This window comes from Homo sapiens, chromosome X (assembly GCF_000001405.40).
Source record: "Homo sapiens chromosome X, GRCh38.p14 Primary Assembly".
Classification (NCBI taxonomy): Eukaryota; Metazoa; Chordata; class Mammalia; order Primates; family Hominidae; genus Homo; species Homo sapiens.
Genome location: NC_000023.11, coordinates 46,052,754 through 46,077,601, shown reverse-complemented (window position 1 = coordinate 46,077,601; position 24,848 = coordinate 46,052,754). Strand labels below are relative to the sequence as shown.

Sequence of the window (24,848 nt, the reverse complement as noted above, 5' to 3'; positions counted from 1 at the left end):
AAGAAATAACTAAGATCAGAGCAGAACTGAAGGAGATAGAGACAGAAAAAACCCTACAAAAAAATCAATGAATCCAGGAGCTGGTTTTTTGAAACGATCAACAAAATAGATAGACCACTGGCAAGACTAATAAAGAAAAAAGAGAGAAGAATCAAATAGACTCAATAAAAAATGTTAAAGGGAATATCACCACCGATCACACAGAAATACAAACTACCATCAGAGAATACTATAAACACCTCTATACAAATAAACAACAAAATCTAGAATAAATGGATAGATTCCTGGACACATACACCCTCCCAAGACTAAACCAGGAAGAAGTTGAATCCCTGAATAGACCAATAACAGGCTCTGAAATTCAGGCAATAATTAATAGCTTACCAACCAAAAAAAGTCCAGGACCAGATGGATTCACTGCTGAATTTTACTAGAGGTACAAAGAGGAGCTGGTACAATTCCTTTTTTTCTATTGATTGGAAACTATTCCAATCAATAGAAAAAGAAGGAATCCTCCCTAACTCATTTTATGACGCCAGCATCATCCTGATACCAAAGCCTGGCAAAGACACAACAAAAAAAGATAATTTTAGATCAGTATCCCTGATGAACATCGACGCGAAAATCCTCAGTAAAATACTGGCAAACCAAATCCAGCAGCACATCGAAAAGCTTATCCACCATGATCAAGTTAGCTTCATCCCTGGGATGCAAGGCTGGTTCAACATCTGCAAATCAATAAATGTAATCCATCACATAAACAGAACCAACGACAAAAACCACATGATTATCTCAATAGATGCAGAAAAGCCCTTCAACAAAATTCAACAGCCCTTCATGCTAAAAACTCTCCATAAACTAGGTATTGATGGGACGTATCTCAAAATAATAAGAGCTATTTATGACAAACCCACAGCCAGTATCATACTGAATGGGCAAAAACTGGAAGTATTCCCTTTGAAAACTGACACAAGACAGGGATGCCCTCTCTCAGCACTCCTATTCAACATAGTATTGGAAGTTCTGGCCAGGTCAATCAGGCAAGAGAAAGAAATAAAGGGTATTCAATTAAGAAAAGAAGAAGTCAAATTGTCCCTGTGGGCAGATGACATGACTGTATATTTAGAAAACCCTATTGTCTCAACCCCAAATGTCCTTAAGCTGATAAGCAACTTCTGCAAAGTCTCAGGATACAAAATCAATGTGCAAAAATCACAAGTATTCTTATACACCAATAACAAACAAACAGAGAGCCAAATCATGAGTGAACTCCCATTCACAATTGCTACTAAGAGAATAAAATACCTAGGAATCCAACTTACAAGGGATGTGAAAGATCTCTTTGAGGAGTACTACAAACCACTGCTCAACGAAATAAAAGAGGAATCAAGCAAATGGAAGAACATTCCATGCTCATGGATAGGAAGAATCAATATCATCAAAATGGCCATATTGCCCAAGGTAATTTATAGATTCAATGCCATCCCCATCAAGCTACCAATGACTTTCTTCACAGAATTGGAAAAAACTACTTTAAACTTCATATGGAACCAAAAAAGAGCCCATATTGCCAAGTCAATCCTAAGCCAAAATAACAAAGCTGGAGGCATCATGCTACCTGACTTCAAACTATACTACAAGGCTACAGAAACAAAAACAGCATGGTACTGATACCAAAACAGATATATAGACCAATGGAACAGAATAGAGGCCTCAGAAATTATGCCACACATCTACAATCATCTGATCTTTGACAAAACTGACAAAAACATGCAATGGGGAAAGGATTCCCTATTTAATAAATGGTGCTGGGAAAACTGCCTAGCCATATGTAGAAAGCTGAAACTGGATCCCTTCCTTACACCTTATACAAAAATTAATTCAAGATGAATTAAAGACTTAAATGTTCGACCTAAAACCATAAAAACCCTAGAAGAAAACCTAGGCAATACCGTTCAGGACATAGGCATGGGCAAGGACTTCGTGACTAAAACACCAAAAGCAATGGCAACAAAAGCCAAAATTGACAAATGGGATGTAATTAAACGAAAGAGCTTTTGCACAGCAAAAGAAACTACCATCAGAGTGAACAGACAACCTACAGAATGGGAGAAAATTTTTGCAATCTACCCATCTGACAAAGGGCTAATATCCAGAATCTACAAAGAACTTAAACAAATTTACAAGAAAAAAACATACAACCCCATCAAAAAGTGGGCAAAGGATATGAACAGACCCTTCTCAAAAGAAGACATTTATGCAGCCAACAGACATATGAAAAAATGTTCATCATCACTTGTCATCAGAGAAATGCAAATCAAAACCACAATGAGATACCATCTCACACCAGTTAGAATGGTGATCATTAAAAAGTCAGGAAAACAACAGGTGCTAGAGAGGATGTGGAGAAATAGGAACACTTTTACACTGTTGGTGGGGGTGTAAACTAGTTCAACCATTGTGGAAGACAGTGTGGCGATTCCTCAAGGATCTAGAACTAGCAATACCATTTGACCCAGCCATCCCATTACTGGGTATATACCCAAAGGATTATAAATCATGCTGCTATAAAGACACAGGCACAAGTATGTTTATTGCAGCACTATTCACTATAGCAAAGACTTGGAACCAACCCAAATGTCCATCAATGATAGACTGGATTAAGAAAATGTGGCATATTTACACCATGGAATACTATGCAGCCATAAAAAAGGATGAGGCCTTGTCCTTTGCAGGGACATGGATGCAGCAGGAAACCATCATTCTGAGCAAACTATCACAAGGACAGAAAACCAAACACCGCATGTTCTCACTCATAGGTGGGAATTGAACAATGAGAACACTTGGACATGGGGCGGGAAATATCACACACCGGGGCCTTTCATGGGGTGGGGGGAGGGGGGAAGGATAGCATTAGGAGAAATACCTAATGTAAATGACGAGTTAATGGGTGCAGCACACCAACATGGCACAGGTATACATATGTAAGAAACCTGCATGTTGTGCACATGTACCCTAGAACTCAAAGTATAATAAAAAAACAAGAAAAAAAGAAATTATTTTTGTGTAATAATCTGATGAAGAATTGAATATAAGTGTATTGAAAATGTTCAAAGACATAAATGAAAGCATAATTTTGACTAAAAAAGTAAAGAAATAAAAACAGAGAGATATTTTAAAAGAACTGGTATATTTGACAAAAATTAGCCAGGCATAGTGGCATGCACCTGTAGTCCCAGCTACTCGGGAAGCTGAGGTGGGAGGATCTTTTGAGCCCGGGAGGCGGAGGTTGCAGTGAGCCATGATCACACCACTGCACTTCAGCCTAGGTGACAGAGTGAGAACCTGTCTGAAAAAGAGAAAAAAAATGTATATTTGAAAACAAACCCATTAGAATGTTGGAAATTTGATCTCTTGTCAGAAAAATTGAAATTTAATAAAGACTAGGCCAATAGAGAAAATTAGTGAATTATATGAAATAATCCTGAGGAATGCAGGATGGAAGAGGGAAATAAAAATAAAGAGAAATATTAAAGAGAAGACTGAGATGCTTCCACATTTGTAGAAAATTGTTTTAAGGGGGTGAGAACGGAGGAAATGGCAAAATACAATAATTTGAAGATATAATAAGTGAGAATTTTATTTTAATTAAGTTAAGCCTAATTTGCTGGGCCTGGTGGCTCATGCCTGTAATTCCAGCTACTTGGGAAGCGGAGGCAGGAGTATCTCTTGAGGCCAGGAGTTCGAGAACAGCCTGGGCAATATAGTGAGATCTCCATCTCTTAAAAAAAAAAATAATAAATTAGCTGGGTGTGTTGGTGCATGCCTATAGTTCCAGCTACTCAGGAGCATGAGGCAGAAGAATCACTTGAGGCCAGGAGTTTGAGGCCCATGGGGCTATGATTGTACCACTGTACTCCAGCCTGGGCAACAAAATGATATCTTGTCTCTTAAAAAAATAGTAAAATAAGATTGCTTTGGTTATTAGGGCTCTTTTTGGTTCCATATGAATTATAGAATAGATTTTTCTAATTCTATGAAAAACAATATTGCTAGTTTGATAGGAATAGTGTTGAACCCATAGGTTGCTTTGGGTAGTATAGCCATTTTAATGATATTGAGTCTACCAACCCATGAGCATGAAATGTTTTTCCATTTGTTTGTGTCATCTGATTTCTTTCAGCAGTGTTTTGTAGTTCTTCTTCTAGAGCTCTTTTAAATCCTTGGCTAAAGGTATTTCTAGGTATTTTATTTTTGTGTGTGGCTATTTTAAACAGGATCGTGTTCTTGATTTGGCTCTCAGCTTGAACATTATTGGTGTATAGAAATGCTACTGATTTTGGTAAATAGATTTTGTATCCTGAAACTTTATTGAAGTCATTTATCAGTTCTAGGGACCTTTTGGTGGCATCTTTAGGGTTTTCTACGTATAGAGTCCTATCGTCAGTGAAGAGAGAGATCTTGACTTCTTTTCCTGTTTGTATGCCTTTCATTTCTTTGTCTTGCCTGATTGCCCCAGCAAGAACTTCTAGAACTATGTTGAATATGTGTGGTGAGAGTGGGCATCCTTGCTAAGCAGCCAACAAACATATGAAAAAATCCTTCATATCATTAATCATCACAGAAATGTAAATCAAAACCACAATGAGATACCATCTCACACCACTTAGAATGGTTATTACTTACAAGGCAAAAAATAACATGTTGGTGAGGCTGCAGAGCAAAAAAGGGAAACGCTTACACACTGTTGATGGGAATGTAAATTAGTTCAGCCACTGTGGAAAGCAATTTGGAGATTCCTGAAACAACTAAAAATAGGACCACCATTCGACATTCAACCTGGAAACTGCATTACTGGATATATACCTAGAGGAAAATAAATCATTCTACCAAAAAGACACATGCACGTCTATGTTCATTGCAGCACTACTCACAATAGCAAAGACGTGACATCAACCTAGGTCATCAATGGTGGACTGGATAAAGAAAATGTTGTACATATACACCATGGAATACTATGCAGCCATGAAAAGGACAAAATCATGTTTTTTGCAGCAACATGGATGCAGCTAGAGGCCAATATCCTAAGCTAATTAACACAGAAAGAAAACCAAATACTGCATGTTCTCACTTGTAAGTGAGAGCTAAACATTGGGTACACATGGACATAAGGATGGGAGAAATAGACATGGAGGCTCCTAGAGTGGGGGTGGGGAGCAAGGGTTGAAAAGCTGACTATTGGGTACTATGCTCATTACCTGGGTGATGGGATCATTTGTAAACCCCAAACCTCAGCATCATGCAATATACCCATGTAACAAATCTGCATATGTACCTCTGGAATCAAAATAAAAGTTGAAATTTTTAAAAATAATAATAATTAAATTAAATAGAACAAAACCTTGAACATGCAGAATAAAAGGACTCTTAGCACCTCATATAATAAATTAAAACAAATACATAGCTAGGCATTTCACAGTAAAGTTGTAGAATTTCAGAGATGAAGAGACTGTAGTAATAGCTACAAAATACATTATATACATATTAATAAGAATTTGAGAGAAGACTTCTCACCAGTAGCGCTTAATGACAAAGAGAAAGGAGTAACATTTTCAGAGGGGAAAAACAAATCTCAATTTACCATTTTTACACAGCTAAACTTATCATTTAAGCTTGGTGGGGAGAGATAGAGAAATTTAAGAGAAAAAAAGACTAAGAGATCCTTCATATATGCAAACACCATTTAGGAGGTCGAATGGGAGATACGAGCTCTTTTGCCATAGAAAAAAATTAAATAAAATGCTTAGACATAAACTTAACAAGAAATATTCAAAACAGATATGAGCAAACCTCTACAACACTTTAAAAGACCGAAATAGACTTAGCATATTCTTGCATTAAAGAATCAACATAATAGGGTATCAGATCTCCTTAAGTTTATTTATAAATTTAACAGTTATTTTCCTGGAGCTTAACAAGTTGATTATAAGTTCATTTAGAATCACAAATAAGTAAGAATATCCAGGAAACCCTGAAAATGAAAAGTAATGGTGAAAGGTCTAACAATACCAGACATTAAAACATACTACATATCTTTTAAAATTATCAACATTTTGATACTGGTTCATAGACACACCAACGAGAAAGAATAGAAAATCTAAGCCAGCCATAGTCACTCACGCCTGTAACCCCAGCATTTTGGGAGCCCGAGGCAGGAGGATCTCTTGAGGTCAGGAGTTTGAGACCAGCCTGGCCAACATGGCAAAGCCCTGTCTTTACTAAGAATACAAAAATTAGCCGGGCATGGTGGTGGGTGCCTGTAGTCCCAGCTACTCAGGAGGCTGAGGCAGGAGAATCATTTGAACCTGGGAGGTGGAGGTTGCAGTGTGCTGAAATCGCACCATTGCACTTCAGCCTGGGTGACAGAGTGAGACTCCGTCTCAAAAAAAAAGAATAGAAAATAGACCCCATTTTATATGAAATTCAAGTATACACTAAAAGTGACATCTCAAGTCAGTAGGGGGAGATGGACTTTTATTTAGTTGGTATGGGATAACTATATAACCTTAATGAAAAAGATAAAACCCCTCACACCATACACTAGATAAGTTTTAAATGGATCAGAGATTCAAATACAGAAAATAAACATATAAGTACCAGAGGAAAACATGGGTGAATTCTTCTGTGAGTTGAGAGTTGGAAAAACTTTCCTTACTATGTTTTAAAATCCAGAAGTAATAAGGGAAAAAAGACTCATATATTTGATTACATTTAAAACATTCTGAATAAAGTAAAAAGAGAAATAATAAACTAGGAAAGAATATAGGACTTCTTAAAATAGGCAGGAAAAAGACCATCAGTCCTAGAGAAAACTTGGATAGAGATAAGAACAGACAGTTCACAGAAAAAAATGCAAATGGACCTTAACCTTATGATGGTTAACTCAAAATGAATGAAATGCAAACTGTGCAGAAAGACCATTTCACACTTACCAGATTGGCTGAGGCTATGAGGCAACACTGCTGATGGGAGTGGAAAATGCAAAGTCCCTATAAAGGGAAATTGGCAAAATCCTGAAAAATTACATACTAAATTATCCTATGATCCAGCAATCTCATTTCTAAGTATATCATTCAAAGATACATTGCCAAAAATGCAAAGACATATATATGTGTGTGTATATATATATATAGTTATTCATTGAAACATTATTTGTAATGATAGGAAAGCAAGAAACATATCTAAATGTCTATCAATAGGGAACTGCTAAAATAAACTGTGGTATTAAAAAGTGAAGTGCTATGCAGGTACAAAAATGGATAAAAAAAATCTCTGTGTAATACTATGAAGTAATCTTAGGGTATGTTGTTTAGGGAAGAAAATCAAAAAGGAGAAAACAGTATAGATGCCATTTTTATCTAGGAAAGGAGAAATATAAATTATAAATGCATGTATAATTATGCCCATATGTCATTGTAAATGAAATTATAAACCATAACATTAAAGAATGGTTACTTATGAGGAGAGGAAGTAGCATCAAAGAGACAGAAATAGAAGCTAGATTTCAATGAATATACCTCATTTTGTGTGTTTGACTTTGAAACTATGTAAATATTTCATGCATTTATAAGGCAAAATTAAATTTATACAAAGCAACTCCTAAAATTGAAATTAAGAAGACATAAATGAACTCATGTGTATATAGTTGGTGGCATAATCACCGAAAGAAGACTTATACCCATTGATTTTAAAACACAGAAATTTGTCTGTATACCCTTAATGGGGACAAAACCTAAGGACAAAACAACAACAATAACAAAAGGCAGCCCTGAAAAATAGATCTAAAACCACTTAGTAATTAATTACATTGTTAGTGGTAGTGTTGATAATGTTATTCTGCGATTGTTGTGTGTTTATTGTTGAATAAGGCAAATGAGTAATTTTTTGGTGTCATCAGGATTTTTGACATGGGAGAAAGGAAATCGGTATGTAAATTCAATGAGGTTAGGTAAAATTGGTTATTCTTATTTGAATTGGAAGTATCATTATGAACTCATGATGCATTTTCTTTTTAAAAGGCCTATTTGTTTTTATCACTAAAAAGATCTAGAAACGAAAATGAACCAGAAGTAATAAGCACCACTAGAGCCCACACTGTGGTCTCTAATTTCCCATTAGAAGGATCAGAGTTCCTGGATATAAAATGTATTAGATGAGCTTAAATATCATGTGATATAATAAAAGCAAGAAGTTTTATCAAAGAGTAATAGAATTGTGTCTGTAGGACTCAGATATCAGTATGAATAGGTTCCAACTAATCAAAGGTAGGTCTGTCTGAAGATCATGAAGGATAAAAACATGTAATGGATTTAAATCCATGAGTTCATAAGGATATTTTAAAAAATACTCTTTGATCTTCCTTGGAGGATGCTAGAGAATGAATTTACTACTCAGAATTAACAAATAAGGGGTTATACCAATGCACTCCAGAAAAAAACCCACATAAATAAGGGGGGAAATCAAGTATTAATTATGCCTTTCCTATATGAACTGTACTCAGGGTAAACAAATAGTTGATAAGTACAAGTTTCTATCTATAGAAGTATTTCAACTAATAAATGAAAAAGAAATAATAAAAATAAAACCACCATTTTGTAACACTTATCTAATTAATGATGTAGGTAATGGTCATTAGTGGCTATTAATGGCATAAAAAGAGAGCCAGACATTATATGCTTTCTAATGGAAACACACCACATCACCTATAATAAATATGTTAGTAAATTTGTTTAACTATTAATTTAAAATAATTATAACAACTTTTCATATTTAAAATGGGTATAAAATTAAAACATTAAACAAAACCAAGAGCAAGTGTGCCCATTGGACAGTAAAACTAAGCTAAGGACCAAGGTTGGATAAAGATATAGATATTGAATAACTGAACTTTCTCAGAAAATGCAGCCTCCAAATCAACAAATGGAAAATTTTATCTATCCAACAGAAGGCATAAGAAAAGGAACATATAATAATTACACAAGTAACTTCAAATATATTAATAATCAAAATAAATGTAACATATTACACTCTTTATTAAAAGAGTGGGCCATTTAAAACTTCAAGTATGTAAGACACACATCGAAAAATAAAGCCACCAGAAATGTTGACAATAAAGGAATGAAAAACGTCATGCAGGGTAGAACAAGATGGCACAATAGAAGTCCCCACCAATTATACCCTCTGCAAGGACACCAATTTAACAACTATCTACACAAAAAAAAAACCTTTGTAAGAAACAAAAATCAGGCAAGCACTCACAGTACCTTGTTCTAACTCTATATTGCTGAAAGAGGCACTGAAGAGGTAGAATAAACCCTTTGGAATTGCTGACGCCACTCCTCCCCCATCCCCTGGCAGTGGAGGCTTGGTGCAGAAAGACTTTCTGTGCCCTGGGGAGAGGGACAGCCAGCAATCCTTAGGCGATGAACTTTCGAGCTGCCTTTGTTAAGGCAGAAAGCAAAATGCGATAAAACTCAACTGATGCCCAACCACTGAGGATGCATTTAAACCTGCCCTAGCCAAAGGGGAATAGCCAGTCCCCGCAGTGGGAACTTGAGTTTCTGCAAGCCTTCCCACCATGGACTAAAGTGCTCTGGGGCTCCAAATAAACTAGAAAGGCAGTCTAGGCCACAAGGACTGCAACACTAGGTGAGTGCCAGGGCTGAACTGGGCCCAGAGACAGTGAACTGGGTGGCGGGTGGCAGGTGGCAGGGGCGGGAACTTCACCTACTGAATCACCATCTGGGGCAGCTAAGAAATTGCTGGTATCACTCCTTCCCTAAGCCAAGGGTGCACAGCTTGTGTCTCCAAAAGACATCCTCCTTATCATGGTAGCATCAGCTTCTACAATCCTCCTCCTTCCACAGTCATGGTGGAAGGCAAAGTAGGAGCAGGCAAAAGAAAAAAAAAAAGAGATCCCCTCCTTCTACTTGAGGAGAGGAGAGGCGAGAGTGGGAGGACTTTGTCTTGCTTCTTGGATACCACCTTAGCCACAGCAGGATAGGGCATTGATCAGAGTCATGAGGCCCCCATTACAGGCCCTACCACCTGGACATTTCTAGATACACCTTGGGCCAGAAGTGAACCCACTGCTTTGAAAGGTGTTACGTGCAACCATGTGAAGAGACCACCAAACAGGCTTTGTGTGAGCGATAAAGCTTTTTAATCACTTGAGTGCAGGTGGACTGAGTCCGAAAAAGGAGTCAGCAAAGGGAGATGGGGGTAGGGCAGTTTTATAGGATTTGGGTAGGTAGTGGAAAATTACAGTTAAAGGGGGTTTTCTCTTGCGGGCAGGGGCAGGGGTTACAAGGTGCTTGGTGGAGAGCTCCTAAGATTAATTGTCCAGGAGAAGGAATGTCACAAGATCAATTTATCAGTTAAGGTGGGGCAGGAACAAATCACAATGGTGGAATGTTATCAGTTAAGGCAGGAACTGGCTATTTCACTTGTTTTGTGGTTCTTCAGTTACTTCAGGCCATATGGATGTATACGTGCAGGTCACAGGGGTTATGATGGCTTAAAGGCCTGACAAAAGGAAGGACCCAGTCCTGACAGGATGAATCACCTACTAATAGAAGAGCCCTTGGACCCTGACCAGCAGTGATACCCAGGTACTATGTTGAGTACACTATGATGGGTATAACACCAACCAGGCTCTTGGGGTCCCCAATTCCAGGACTTGGCTCTTGGATGGCATTTCTGGACCTGCTCAGGTCAAAGAGGAGCCCACTCCTCTGAAAGGTGAGTCTCAGGCCAGGCAGCATTCACCATAAGCTAACTAAAGAGCCCTTGGGCCTTGAGGGAACATCAGAGGTAATCTGGTAAAACTCCTTGTGGGCCTGAGGTGGCGGTGGCCACATGCTGTGTCAAAAATAAAAACTCTCATGCCCCTTTGTTCAAATATACTCTCATAGCAACTGGCCAAAAAACGCCCCTCTACACGAAAGTAAAATTGCTTTACTAAAAATCCTTTATTCAAGTGTTCAATTTCCTTAAAATTTTAAGCGTTATTCCTAACATGGCCAGCAGTCACATGAAAAAATGCTCAATATCACTGATCATTAGAGAAACACAAATCCAAACCACAATGAGATACCATCTCACACCAGTCGGAATGACTGTTATTAAAAAAGTCAAAAATAACAGATGCTGGTGAGGTTGTGGAGAAAAGGGAACACTTATACACCGTTAGAGGGAGTGTACATTAGTTCCACCATTGTGGAAGACAGTGTGGTGATTCCTCAAAGACCTAAAGACAGAATTACCATTTGACTCAGCAATCCCATTACTGGGTATATATGGAAAGGAATATAAATCACTCTATTACAAAGACACATGCACATGAATATTCAATGCAGCACTATTCACAAAAGCAAAGACATGACATGGAATCCACCTAAATGCCCATGAATGATAGACTGGATAAAGAAAATATGGTACATATACACCATGGAATACTATGCAGCCATAAAAGAGTACGAGATCATATCCTTTGCAGGGACATGGATGCAACTGGAGGCCATCATCCTTAGCAAACTAATTCATGAACAGGAAACCAAATACTGAATGTTCTCGCTTATAAGTGGGAGCTAAATGATGAGGGGAACAACACACACTAGGGCCTATTGGAGGGTGGAGGATGAGCAAAGGGAGAGGATCAGGAAAAATAAGTAATGGATACTAGGCTTAATACCTGGGTTATGAAATAATCTATACAACGAGTCCCCATGACACAAGCTTACCTATGTAACAAACCTACACATGTACCCCTGAACTGAAAATAAAAGTTGAAAACAATTTTTTTAAAAAGAGAGAGAGAGTAGAAAGATGTTTACCAGAGGCTGGAAAGGCTCGTGGGGGGTTGAGCTGGAAGTGGGGATGGTTAACGGGTACAGATATATTTAAAATGAATAGATAAGGCCTAGTATTTGTTAGCACAACAGGGTGTCTATAGTCAATAATAATTTAGATATACATTTGAAAATAACTAAAAGAGTATAATTGGATTGTAAAACAAAGGATAAATACTTGTGGGGATGGATACCCCATCTTCCATGATGTGATTTTTATGCATTGCGTACCTTATCAAGACATCTCATATACCCCATAAACATACATACCTATCCACAAAATTATCCACAGAAATATAAAAACCCATGCAAATACTAACTATAAAAAGGTGTTAAATTATATTCATATAAGTCAAGTTAAAATTGGAAGCCAAAAGCGTTAACTGTAATAAAGACAGATAACTAGCAATAATATAATGAAATGAAAATTGTACCAGAAAGGTATTTGTTTTCAACTTGTATGAAACTGACAACGTTGCCTCAACGGATATACAACAAAACTCTACAATCATAATAGGAGATTTAAAATCATCTCTACTATAAATTGATAGATCAAGAAGATAAAAAATTATTAAGGGTGTAGAATCTGTGATATTGCAAAATATGTATTTGGTCTTTGTCCCTATTTCCTTACATACAGCTACCAAAACCCTTGGATTCTCTAAAGTGATCAGAATCTTTTGTATATTAATGAGATGACTGGTAGCTGGGGCCCCTAAATATCTTCAGGAAGGAGGGTAGTCACTGGAAATACCAACATATTATTAGAGGGTTGTGATATTTAGCCCCACCTCCCAACCTCTGGGGAGGGAAGAAGGGCTGAAGGTTGAGTTGGTCACCAATGACCAATGATTTAGTTAATCATATCTACACATGAAGCTGGTTCAGAGAGCTTCTAGATATCTGAACACATGGAAGTTCCTGGAGTGTGGCATGCTCAGAAAGGGGATGAAAACTCTGTTCCCCTTCCCACATGGTTGCCCTGTGCAGCTCTTCCATCTGGCTGTTTATCTGTATACTTTTTAATATCCTTTATAATAAATTGGTAAACATAAGTAAAGTATTTCCCTGAGCTCTGTGCAATGCTCTAGCAAATTGATAGGATCCAAGGAGAGAGTCATAGGAACTCCAATTTACTGCTGATAGGTCAAAAGTACAGATCAAACCTGGGGTTTGTGTCTATCATCTGAAGTGGGGGACAGTCTTGTGGGACTGAGCCCTCAACCTATGGAATTTGACAATAGTGTCAGAATGGAATTGGAGGACACACAGCTGGTGTCCCCTGGAGAATCTGGTGTCCATGTGCTATGTGTTGAGTGTGAAAGTAGAGAGCAGAAAGGAAAAACAGGGTTTTTTTTCTCTTACAAGAAGGAATTTTGTTATTCAAAGGAACAACAAAATTAATTACCATTCAATAAATATAAAATATACATTATTTCCAAATATAGATGGAATATTTATAAAAACTAGTCACTTAATAGGACTTAAATAAAGTTTCTAAAAAGTGTAAAAGATGTGTTATCATATTGACTATGTTCTTCCTTGATCACAATAAAATTGAATTAGAAATCAAGCACCAGAAAAAGGTGGTTAAAAACACAATGTTTGTAAACCTAAAAATGTTCCTGGAACTAACTCATGCTTAATAAGAAACAATGAAAATTGCAAAATAGAAATTTAGACCTGAATGACAATGAAAATACTACATTTCAAAACTTGTAACATGCAGCTAAAGCAGTGTTTAGAGAGAAATTTATAGTCTAAAATGTTTTTATTTAAAAATGAAAAAGATTGAAAATAAAGACGTTAATTGAAAATAAAAAAGTTGTGTTCTCTTCCAGAAGCTAGAAAAGGAATGACAGATATTCAGTTAGTATGGAAGAAATAGAGACTTTATGGGACTAGGAAACTAAAAAAAAAATCTTCCTTGAAACAAGAACAGGAAACTACAAAAAATCACATTCAGGAAACAACAATAAGAACAAAGAAATAAAAACATGGAAAGTTTTCAATAAAATGGAGTGTAATTTTGAGAAAAATTTCCTGGAAAACAGCAACAAGACAACTTTATGAAAATGGGAGATAAAAGATAAGCTAGCTGTTGAGGTTTCACATCTAAATAATAGGAATTCATAAGGAAAGACAAAGAGATGCAGAGAACAAAGAAAATAGCGCAGAAGTCATGGATGAAATGATTTAAGAATGTTTCCCATATCTGAAAGACCTGTTTCACAACTAAATGGATCAATCAATTGAAGGGCTCAAACCTAGGCATGTCTTCATAAAATTTTGGAGCACTGGAGATCCTGCAGCTTCCAAAGAGGAGAAAAGGAAAAGGTTTAACAGGAATGTAAAAGGGTCAGAATAGCATTGGAGTTCTAACCAGCAACAGTGAAAGCCCAAAACCAATAGAGCAGCATCATTCTTAGAAAATAATTACAATCAAGGATTTAACAAGCAGCTAAACTATCAAATAAGTGTGAGGGTAGCATAAAGGCAGTTTTTTCCCAACATGCAAGATCTCAACCATTTTTGCCTCCCAGAAACTGAGGGAGTAAACCAAGAAAGAGGAAAACATGGGATTCAAGTAATGGGGGCTGATATAAGAAAGAAGGAAGGAAATTCCCCCTATTACTGCTGACGTGAAATCTCAGAAAGACAACTGCAGATTAGGGAGAGAGCAATCACTAGTTTCCAGAAGGATTTCTTCAAGAAGATGAAAAAAAAATAGAATCCAATATTATATTATTCTATTATGAGGCTATTTACACAATGGAGCATAATTTTAGGGGGAAGCATTTGCGAACAAAACAAAAAGATATCAACTGCAAGAAAACAAAAGATTATGCAGGAAAAAATATTTCAAGATAAATAGCGTTTATATAGACCCAATAATGACTCAATTATGGTTAAATTATTATGATTTAACCAAAGAAACCATATAACTGTTCTGGAAGGACAGGGCACAAGGAAAATAGGGCATGAGGGAATGTAGTGGGGATTGAATAATAGTGAGAGGTAACTAAACCCCAGATACCAATATTCCGTTTTGGGAAATCAATGGATAATGTTTAAAACTTCGCAAGCAAAAAGTAGCAATATAAGCCATGTTTTTAAGATACGTGAATCATAAGTAATAGCTAAAAGAATGAACATGGTTGCTTCTGGGGAGCAGGAATGGGGAAGGTGTGGCAGGACAGTGTTATTTGTTATGAAACAATCTATGTGCACAACTCTGTGACTTTTCCAAATATATGCATACACACACACACTCACACACACACACACACAAAACTTTTATAAAGACAAATACTAAATAAAATAAAAAGACTAACATCGCAAATAAGTTGGAATAAAGGGGACAAGAGCTGTAAAAATAAAGTGGAAAACTACATAGGATCAACAAAAATAAAAACTGTTACAAAATCTATAAATTTAACATATCTCTAGTAATACTGAACAAAAACAGGAAATCACATGAAAAGCACACAAGTAAACAATATTAGGAACAATGAGATATAACATTACAAACAAGGAGTTTTCTAAAATTAAAAGATAAAGAGAATATAAATAATATATTTAGGAACAGATGAAATAATTTCTTTTTTTAATTGCATATTGAGTTGCATATATGAATTATTAAGTTGCATATATCATGCTATTTTCTCATGTTTCTTAATGTACACTGCTTTTTTTACTATTATAATTTTTCTTTTCTTTTTTTAAAATTTTACTTTAAGTTCTGGGATACATGTGCAGAACGTGCAGGTTTGCTACATAGGTATACATGTGCCATGGTGGTTTGCTGCACCTATCAATCTGTCATCTAGGTTTTAAGCCCCACATGTATTAGGTATTAGTCCTAATGCTCTGCCTCCCACCCCCTGACAGACCTGGTGTGTGATGTTCCCCTCCCTTTGTCCATGTGTTCTCATTGTTTAACTCCCACTTATGAGTAAGAACATGCAGTGTTTGGTTTTCTCTTCCTGTGTTAGTTTGCTGAGAATGATGGTTTCCAGCTTCATCCATGTCCCTGCAAAGGACATGAACTCACTCTTTTTTATGGCTGCATAGTATTCCATGGTGTATATATGCCACATTTTCTTTATCCAGTCTATCATTGATGGGCATTTGGGTTGGTTCCAAGTCTTTGCTGTTGTAAATAGTGCTGCAATAAACATATGTGTGCATGTGTCTTTATAGTAGAATGATTTATAATTCTTTGGGTATATACCCCGTAATCGGACTGGCAGGTCAAATGGTATTTCTGGTTCTAGATCCTTGAGGACTGGCCACAGTGTCTTCCACAATGGTTGAACTAATTTACACTCCCACCAACAGTGTAAAAGCGTTCCTTTCTCCACAGCCTCGTCAGCATCTGTTGTTTCCTTACTTTTTAATGATTGCCATTCTAACTGGAGTGAGATGGTATCTCATGTGGCTTTGATTTGCATTTCTCTAATGACCAGTGATGATGAGCATTTTTTCATGTGTCTGTTGGCTGCATAAATGTCTTCTTTTGAGAAGTGTCTGTTCATATCCTTCACCCACTTTTTGATGGGGTTGTTTGTTTTTTTCTTGTAAATTTATTTATGTTCCTTGTAGATTCTGGATAATAGCCCAATGGAACAGAATAGAGGCCTCAGAAATAACACCACACATCTACAACCATCTGATCTTCGACAAACCTGACAAAAACAAGCAATAGGGAAAGGATTCCCTACTTAATAAATAGTGCTGGGAAAAAAACTGGCTAGCCATATGCAAAACTGAAACTGGACCCCTTCCTTATACCTTATACCTTATACAAAAATTAACTCAAGATGAATTAAAGATGTAAAAGTAAAACCTGAAACCATAAAAACCCTAGAAGAAATCCTAGGCAATACCATTCATGACATAGGCATGGGCAAAGACTTCATGACTAAAACACCAAAAGCAATGGCAACAAAACCAAAATTGACAAATGGGATCTAATTAAACTAAAGAGCTTCTGCACAGCAAAAGAAACTATCGTCAGAGTGAACAGAATGGGACCTACAGAATGGGAGAAAATTTTTGCAATCTATCCATCTGACAAAGATGAAATAATTTCTAAGAAAATGTAAATTATAAAAAATTGACTCAAGATATCAATTAACCACTGAAAGCTTTCAAAAGTAATCAACTGTCTTATTCAAAAGATATCAGGACCCATTAATTTTATAGGCAATTTTTATCAACTTTCAAGGAATACATTCTCCCTATGTTATATAAACCATTCCAGAGAACATAAGAACTCATTTATGAGGCTAATAAAAACTTGATAACAAAAATGGAATAAAAACAGTGCAAAAAATTAAACCATTCTCACTTATAAACATAGATACTAAAGTTCTAAAAACAGACGGTGCAAATTTAAAAATGTATTATACCAATGTATTAGTTTTCTATTGCTGTGTAACAAATAATCACACAATGTAGCGGTTTGAAACAACATTCATTTACTATCTCAGTTTCTGTAGTTCAGAAATTCAGAGACAGCCTAACTAGATTCTCTGCTTAGGGTCTCATATGCTGCAGTTAACTTGGCCAGAGCTGGGTCCCATTTGAGTATTGGAGTCTTCTTCCAAGCTCACAAGTTGTTGGCAGAACTCATTTTCTTGAAGCTGTGGAACTCATAGGGGCATGTTTCTTCAAGGCCAGCAGCAGAATCTCTCTAATCACTAGACCCTCTTTTAAAGAGCTTGCCTGAGTAGGTCAAGCCCACCCAGGGAATCTCTCTTTTAATTAACTCAAAGTCAACTGAATAAGGACTTTAATTGCATCTGAAAAATCCCTTCGCTTTGCCAAATTCTACTGGTTAGAAGCAACTTATATGTTCCACTCACACTCAAGGGGAGATGATTTCACAAAGGCAAGGATACCAGGGAGTGGGAATCACAGGGGCCATCTTAGAATTCTGCTTAGGACAACCAGGTAGAGTTTATCCCAGGAATAAGTAGAGTACATTCCAGTGATGCAAGGATGATTAAACGTTAAAAAGTCTATTAATGGTTGTCATTCTAGGTCTCAGCCTCTCCCTATGGCATTCGCCTGCTTGCTCTGAGGCTCGTGAAGCCAAAACTGGCTAGACTTTCCTACTTTCCGCCCGCCTGTAGCCGCGTTGTTGCCACTCTGCCACCATGTTCGAGGTGCCCCTGGTCCAGGGCTCCATCCTGAAGAAGGTGTTGGAGGCACTCAAGGACCTCATCAACGAGGCCTGCTGGGACATCAGCTCGAGCGGCGTGAACCTGCAGAGCATGGATTCGTCCACGTCTCCTTGCTGCAGTTCACCCTGCCGTCTGAGGGCTTTGACACTTACCGCTGTGACTGCAACCTGGCCATGGGCGTGAACCTCACTATTATGTCCAAAATACTAAAATGTGCTGGCAATGAAGATATCGTTACACTAAGGATTGAAGATAATGTGAATACCTTGGTGCTAGTATTTGAAGCTTCAAATCAGGAGAAGGTTTCAGACTATGAAATTAAGTTGATGGATTTGGATGTTGAACAACTTGGAATTGCAGAACAAGAGTACCACTATGTAGTAAAGATGCTTTCTGGTGAATTTGCAAGTATATGCTGAGATCTCAGCCATATTGGAGATGCTGTTGTAATTTCCGGTGTAAAAGATGGAATTATATTTTCTGCAAGTGGAGACCTTGGAAATAGAAAACAAATTGTCACAGACAAGTACTGTCGATAAAGAGGAGGAAGCTGTTACCATGGAGATGAATGAACCAGTTCAACTAACTTTTGCACTGAGGTACCTGAACTTCCTTACAAAAGCCACTCCACTCTCTTCAATGGTGACACTCAATATGTCTGCAGACATACACCTTGTTGTAGACTATAAAATTGCTGATGTGGGACACTTAAAGTACTACTTGGCTCCCAAGATGGAGGATGAAGAAGGACCTTAGGCATTCATAAAATTCAAGAAAATAAAACTAAGCTCTTTGAGAACTGCTTCTGAGATGCCAGCATATACTGAAGTCTTTTCTGCCACCAAATTTGTACCTCTAAGTACATATGTAGATATTGTTTTCTGTAAATAACCTTTTTCTCTATTCTCTGCAATTTGTTTAAAGAATAAAGTCCAAAGTCAGTCAGATCTGGTCTAGTTAACCTAGAACTATTTTTCTCTCTTAGAAATACTTGTGATTTTTACAATACAATAGGGTCTTGACTCTAAATGCAGTTTTAAGATTTGTTTTTGCTACAGCTCCCAGCATGAGCGATGCAGAAGATGGCTGATTTCTGCATTTCCAACTGAGGTACCGGGTTCAACTCACTGGGGAGTGTTGGACAGTGGGTGCAGGACAGTGGGTGCAGTGCACTGAGCATGAGCTGAAGCAGGGTGAGGCATTGCCTCACCCAGGAAGTGCAAGGGGTCAGGGAATTCCCTTTCCTAGCCAAAGAAAGGGGTGACAGAGGGGTCACTCCCACCCTAATACTGCGCTTTTCCAATGGTCTTAGCAAATGGCACACCAGGAGATTATATCCCGTGCCTGGCTCGGAGGGTCCTATGTCCACGGAGCCTCGCTCATTGCTAGCACAGCAGTCTGAGATCAAACTGCAAGGTGGCAGTGAGGCTGGGGGAGGGACGCTCCCCATTGCCAAGGCTTGAGTAGGTAAACAAAGTGGCTGGGAAGCTCAATCTGGGTGGAGCCCACCGCAGCTCAAGGAGGCCTGCCTGCCTCTGTAGACTCCACCTCTGCAGGGAGGGCACAGCCAAACAAAAGGCAGCAGAAACCTCTGCAGACTTAAATGTCCCTGTCTGACAGCTTTGAACAGAGTAGTGGTTCTCCCAGCACACAGCTTGAGATCTGAGAACAGGCAGACTGCCTCCTCAAGTGGGTCACTGACCCCTGAGTAGCCTAACTGGGAGGCACCCCCCAGTAGGGGCAGACTGACACCTCAAATGGCCGGGTACTCCTGTGAGACAAAACTTCCAGAGGAATGATCAGGCAGCAACGTTTGCTGTTCACCAATATCCGCTGTTCTGCAGCCTCCACTGCTGATACCCAGGCAAACAGGGTCTGGAGTGGACCTCTGGCAAATTCCAACAGACCTGCAGCTAAGGGTCCTGACTGTTAGAAGGAAAACTAACAAACAGAAAGGACTTCCACACCAAAACCCCATTTGTACATCACCATCATCAAAAACCAAAGGTAGATAAAACCACAAAGATGGGGAAAAAACAGAGCAGAAAAACTGGAAACTCTAAAAATCAGAGTGCCTCTCCTCCTCCAAAGGAACGCAGCTCCTCACCAGCAACGGAACAAAGCTGGACGGAGAATGACTTTGACGAATTGAGAGAAGAAGGCTTCAGACGATCAAACTACTCCGAGCTAAAGGAAGAAGTTCAAACCCATGGCAAAGAAGTTAAAAACCTTGAAAAAAAATTAGATGAATGGCTAACTAGAATAATCAATGCAGAGAAGTACTTAAAAGACCTGATGGAGCTGAAAACCACGGCATGAGAACTACGTGATAAATGCACAAGCCTCAGTAGCCGATTTGATCAACTGGAAGAAAGGGTATCAGTGATTGAAGATCAAATGAATGACATGAAGTGAGAAGAGAAGTTCAGAGAAAAAAGAATAAAAAGAAAGAAACAAAGCCTCCAAGAAATATGGGACTATGTGAAAAGAACAAATCTATGTCTGATTGGTGTACCTGAAAGTGACTGGGAGAATGGAACCAAGTTGGAAAACACTCTTCAGGATATTATCCAGGAGAACTTCCCCAATCTAGTGAGGCAGGCCAACATTCAAATTCAGGAAATACAGAGAATGCCACAAAGATACTCCTCGAGAAGAGCAACTCCAAGACACATAATTGTGAGATTCACAAAAGTTGAAATGAAGGAAAAAATGTTAAGGGCAGCCAGAGAGAAAGGTTGGGTTACCCACAAGGGGAAGCCCATCAGACTAACAGCTGATCTCTCAGCAGAAACTCTACAAGCCAGAAGAGAGTGGGAGCCAATATTCAACATTCTTAAAGAAAAGAATATTCAACCCAGAATTTCATATCCAGCCAAACTAAGCTTCATTAGTGAAGGAGCAATAAAATCCTTTATAGACAAGCAAATGCTGAGAGATTTTGTCACCACCAGGCCTCCCCTACAAGAGCTCCTGAAGGAAGCACTAAACATGGAAAGGAACAACTGGTACCAGCCACTGCAAAAACATGCCAAATTGTAAAGACCATCGAGGCTACGAAGAAACTGCATCAACTAACGAGTAAAACAACCAGCTAACATCATAATGACAGGATCAAATATACACATAACAATATTAACCTTAAATGTAAATGGGCTAAATGCTCCAATTAAAAGACACAGACTGGCAAATTGGATAAAGAGTTAAGACCCATCAGTGTGCTGTATTCAGGAAACCCAACTCATGTGCAGAGACACACATAGGCTCAAAATAAAGGGATGGAGGAAGATCTACCAAGCAAATGGAAAACAAAAAAAGGCAGGGGTTGCAATCCTAGTCTCTGATAAAGCAGACTTTAAACCAACAAAGATCAAGAGAGACAAAGAAGGCCATCACATAATGGTAAAGGGATCAATTCAACAAGAAAAGCTAACTATCCTAAATATATATGCACCCAATACAGGAGCACCCAGATTCATAAAGCAAGTCCTTAGAGACCTACAAAGAGACTTAGACTCCCACACAATAATAATGGGAGACTTTAAAATCCCACTGTCAACATTAGACAGATCAACAAGACAGAAAGTTAACAAGGATACCCAGGAATTGAACTCAGCTCTGCACCAATCAGACCTAACAGACATCTACAGAACTCTCCACCCCAAATCAACAGAATATACATGCTTTTCAGCACCACACCACACCTATTCCAAAATTGACCACATAGTTGGAAGTAAAGCACTCCTCAGCAAATGTAAAAGAACAGAAATTATAACAAACTGTCTCTCAGACCACAGTGCAATCAAACTAGAAGTCAGCATTAAGAAACTCACTCAAAACAGCTCAACTACATGGAAACTGAGCAACCTGCTCCTGAATGACTACTGGGTACATAATGAAATGAAGGCAGAAATAAAGATGTTCTTTGAAACCAATGAGAACAAAGACACAACATACCAGAATCTCTGGGACACACTCAAAGCAGTGTGTAGAGGGAAATTTATAGCACTAAATGCCCACAAGAGAAAGCAAGAAAGAACTAAAATTGACACCCTAACATCACAATTAAAAGAACTAGAGAAGCAAGAGCAAACACATTCAAAAGCTAGCAGAAGGCAAGAAATAACTAAGATCAGAGCAGAACTGAAGGAGATAGAGACATAAAAAACCCTTAAAAAAATCAATGAATCCAGGAGCTGGTTTTTTGAAAAGATCAGCAAAATTGATAGACCGCTAGCAAGACTAATAAAGAAGAAAAGAGAGAAGAATCAAATAGATGCAATAAAAAATGACAAAGGGGATATCACCACTGATCCCACAGAAATACAAACTACCATCAGAGAATACTGTAAACACCTCTATGCAAATAAACTAGAAAATCTAGAAGAAATGGATAAATTCCTCAACACATACACCTTCCCAAGACTAAACCAGGAAGAAGTTGAATCTCTGAATAGAACAATAACAGGCTTTGAAATTGAGGCAATAATTAAGAGCTTACGAACCAAAAAAAGTCCAGAACCAGATGGATTCACAGCCAAATTCTACCAGAGGTACAAGGAGGAGCTGGTACCATTCCTTCTGAAACTATTCCAATCAATAGAAAAAGAGGGAATTGGCCAGGCGCGGTGGCTCATGCCTTTAATCCCAGCACTTTGGGAGGCTGAGGCAGGCAGATCACAAGGTCAGGAGATGGAGACCATCCTGGACAACATGGTGAAACACCGTCTCCACTAAAAATACAAAAATATAGCCGGGCGTGGTGGCAGGTGCCTGTAGTCCCAGCTACTTGGGAGGCTGAGGCAGGAGAATGGTGTGAACCCAGGAGGCGGAGTTTGCAGTGAGCCTAGATCGCGCCACTGCACTCCAGCCTGGGTGACAGAGTGAGACTCTGTCTTAAGAAAAAAAAAAAAAGAAAAAGAAAAAGAGGGAATCCTCCATAACTCATTTTATGAGGCCAGCATCATCCTGATACCAAAGCCTAGCAGAGACACAACCAAAAAAGAGAATTTTTGACCAATATCCCTGATGAACATCAATGCAAAAATCCTCAATAAAATACTGGTAAACCGAATCTGGCAGCACATCAAAAAGCTTATTCACCATGATCAAGAGGGCTTCATCCCTGGGATGCAAGGCTGGTTCAACATACGCAAATTAATAAATGTAATCCAGCATATAAACAGAACCAATGACAAAAACCATATGATTATCTCAATAGATGCAGAAAAGGCCTTTGGCAAAATTCAACAGCCCTTCATGCTAAAAACTCTCAATAAATTAGGTATTGATGGGACGTATCTCAGAATAATAAGAGTTATCTATGACAAACTCACTGCCAATATCATACTGAATGGGCCAAAACTGGAAGCATTCCCTTTGAAAACTGGCACAAGACAGGGATGCCCTCTCTCACCACTCCTATTCAACATAGTGTTGGAAGTTCTGGCCAGGGCAATCAGGCAGGAGAAGCAAATAAAGGGTATTTGATTAGGAAAAGAGGAAGTCAAATTGTCCCTGTTTGCAGATGACATGATTGTATATCTAGAAAACCCCATTGTCTCAGCCCAAAATCTCCTTAAGCTGATAGGCAACTTCAGCAAAGTCTCAGGATACAAAATCAATGTGCAAAAATCACAAGCATTCCTATACACCAATAACAGACAAACAGAGAGCCAAATCATGAGTGAACTCCCATTCAGAATTGCTACTAAGAGAATAAAATACCTAGGAATCCAACTTACAAGGGATGTGAAGGACCTCTTCAAGGAGAACTACAAAGCACTGTTCAATGAAATAAAAGAGGATACAAACAAATGGAAGAACATTCCATGCTCATGGGTAGGAAGAATCAATATCGTGAAAATGGCCTTACTGCCTAAGGTAAGTTATAGATTCAATGCTATCCCCATCAAGCTACCAATGACTTTCTTCACAGAATTGGAAAAAACTACTTTAAAGTTCATATGGAACCAAAAAAGAGCCCGCATTGCCAAGTCAATCCTAAACCAAAAGAACAAAGCTGAAGGCATCATGCTACCTGACTTCAAGCTATACTACAAGGCTACAGTAACCAAAACAGCAGGGTACTGGTACCAAAACAGAGATATAGACTAATGGAACAGAACAGAGCCCTCAGAAATAATGCCGCATATCTACAACTATCTGATATTTGACAAACTTGAAAAAAACAAGATATGGGGAAAGGATTCCCTATTTAATAAATGGTGTTGGGAAAACTGGCTAGCCATACGTAGAAAGCTGAAACTGGATCCCTTCCTTACACCTTATACAAAAATTAATTCAAGATGGATTAAAGACTTAAACGTTAGACCTAAAACCATAAAAACCCTAGAAGAAAACCTAGGCATTACCATTCAGGACATAGGCATGGGCAACGACTTCATGTCTAAAGCACCAAAAGCAATGGCAACAAAAGCCAAAATTGACAAATGGGATCTAATTAAACCAAAGAGCTTCTGCACAGCAAAGGAAACTATCATTAGAGTGAACAGGCAACCTACAGAATGGGAGAAAATTTTTGCAATCTACTCATCTGACAAAGGGCTGATATCCAGAATCTACAATGAACACAAACAAATTTACAACAAAAAAACAAACAACCCCATCAACAAGTAGGTGAAGGATATGAACAGACACTTCTTGAAAGAAGACATTTATGCAGCCAAAAGACACATGAAAAAATGCTCATCATCATTGGCCATCAGAGAAATGCAAATCAAAACCA

General features: G+C 38.1%; 1 pseudogene; it reads left to right on the top strand.

The window, feature by feature from the left end:
* PCNAP3 (proliferating cell nuclear antigen pseudogene 3) lies at positions 17,945-19,050 on the top strand (annotated as a pseudogene).
* The last annotated feature ends 5,798 nt before the right edge of the window (positions 19,051-24,848 follow it).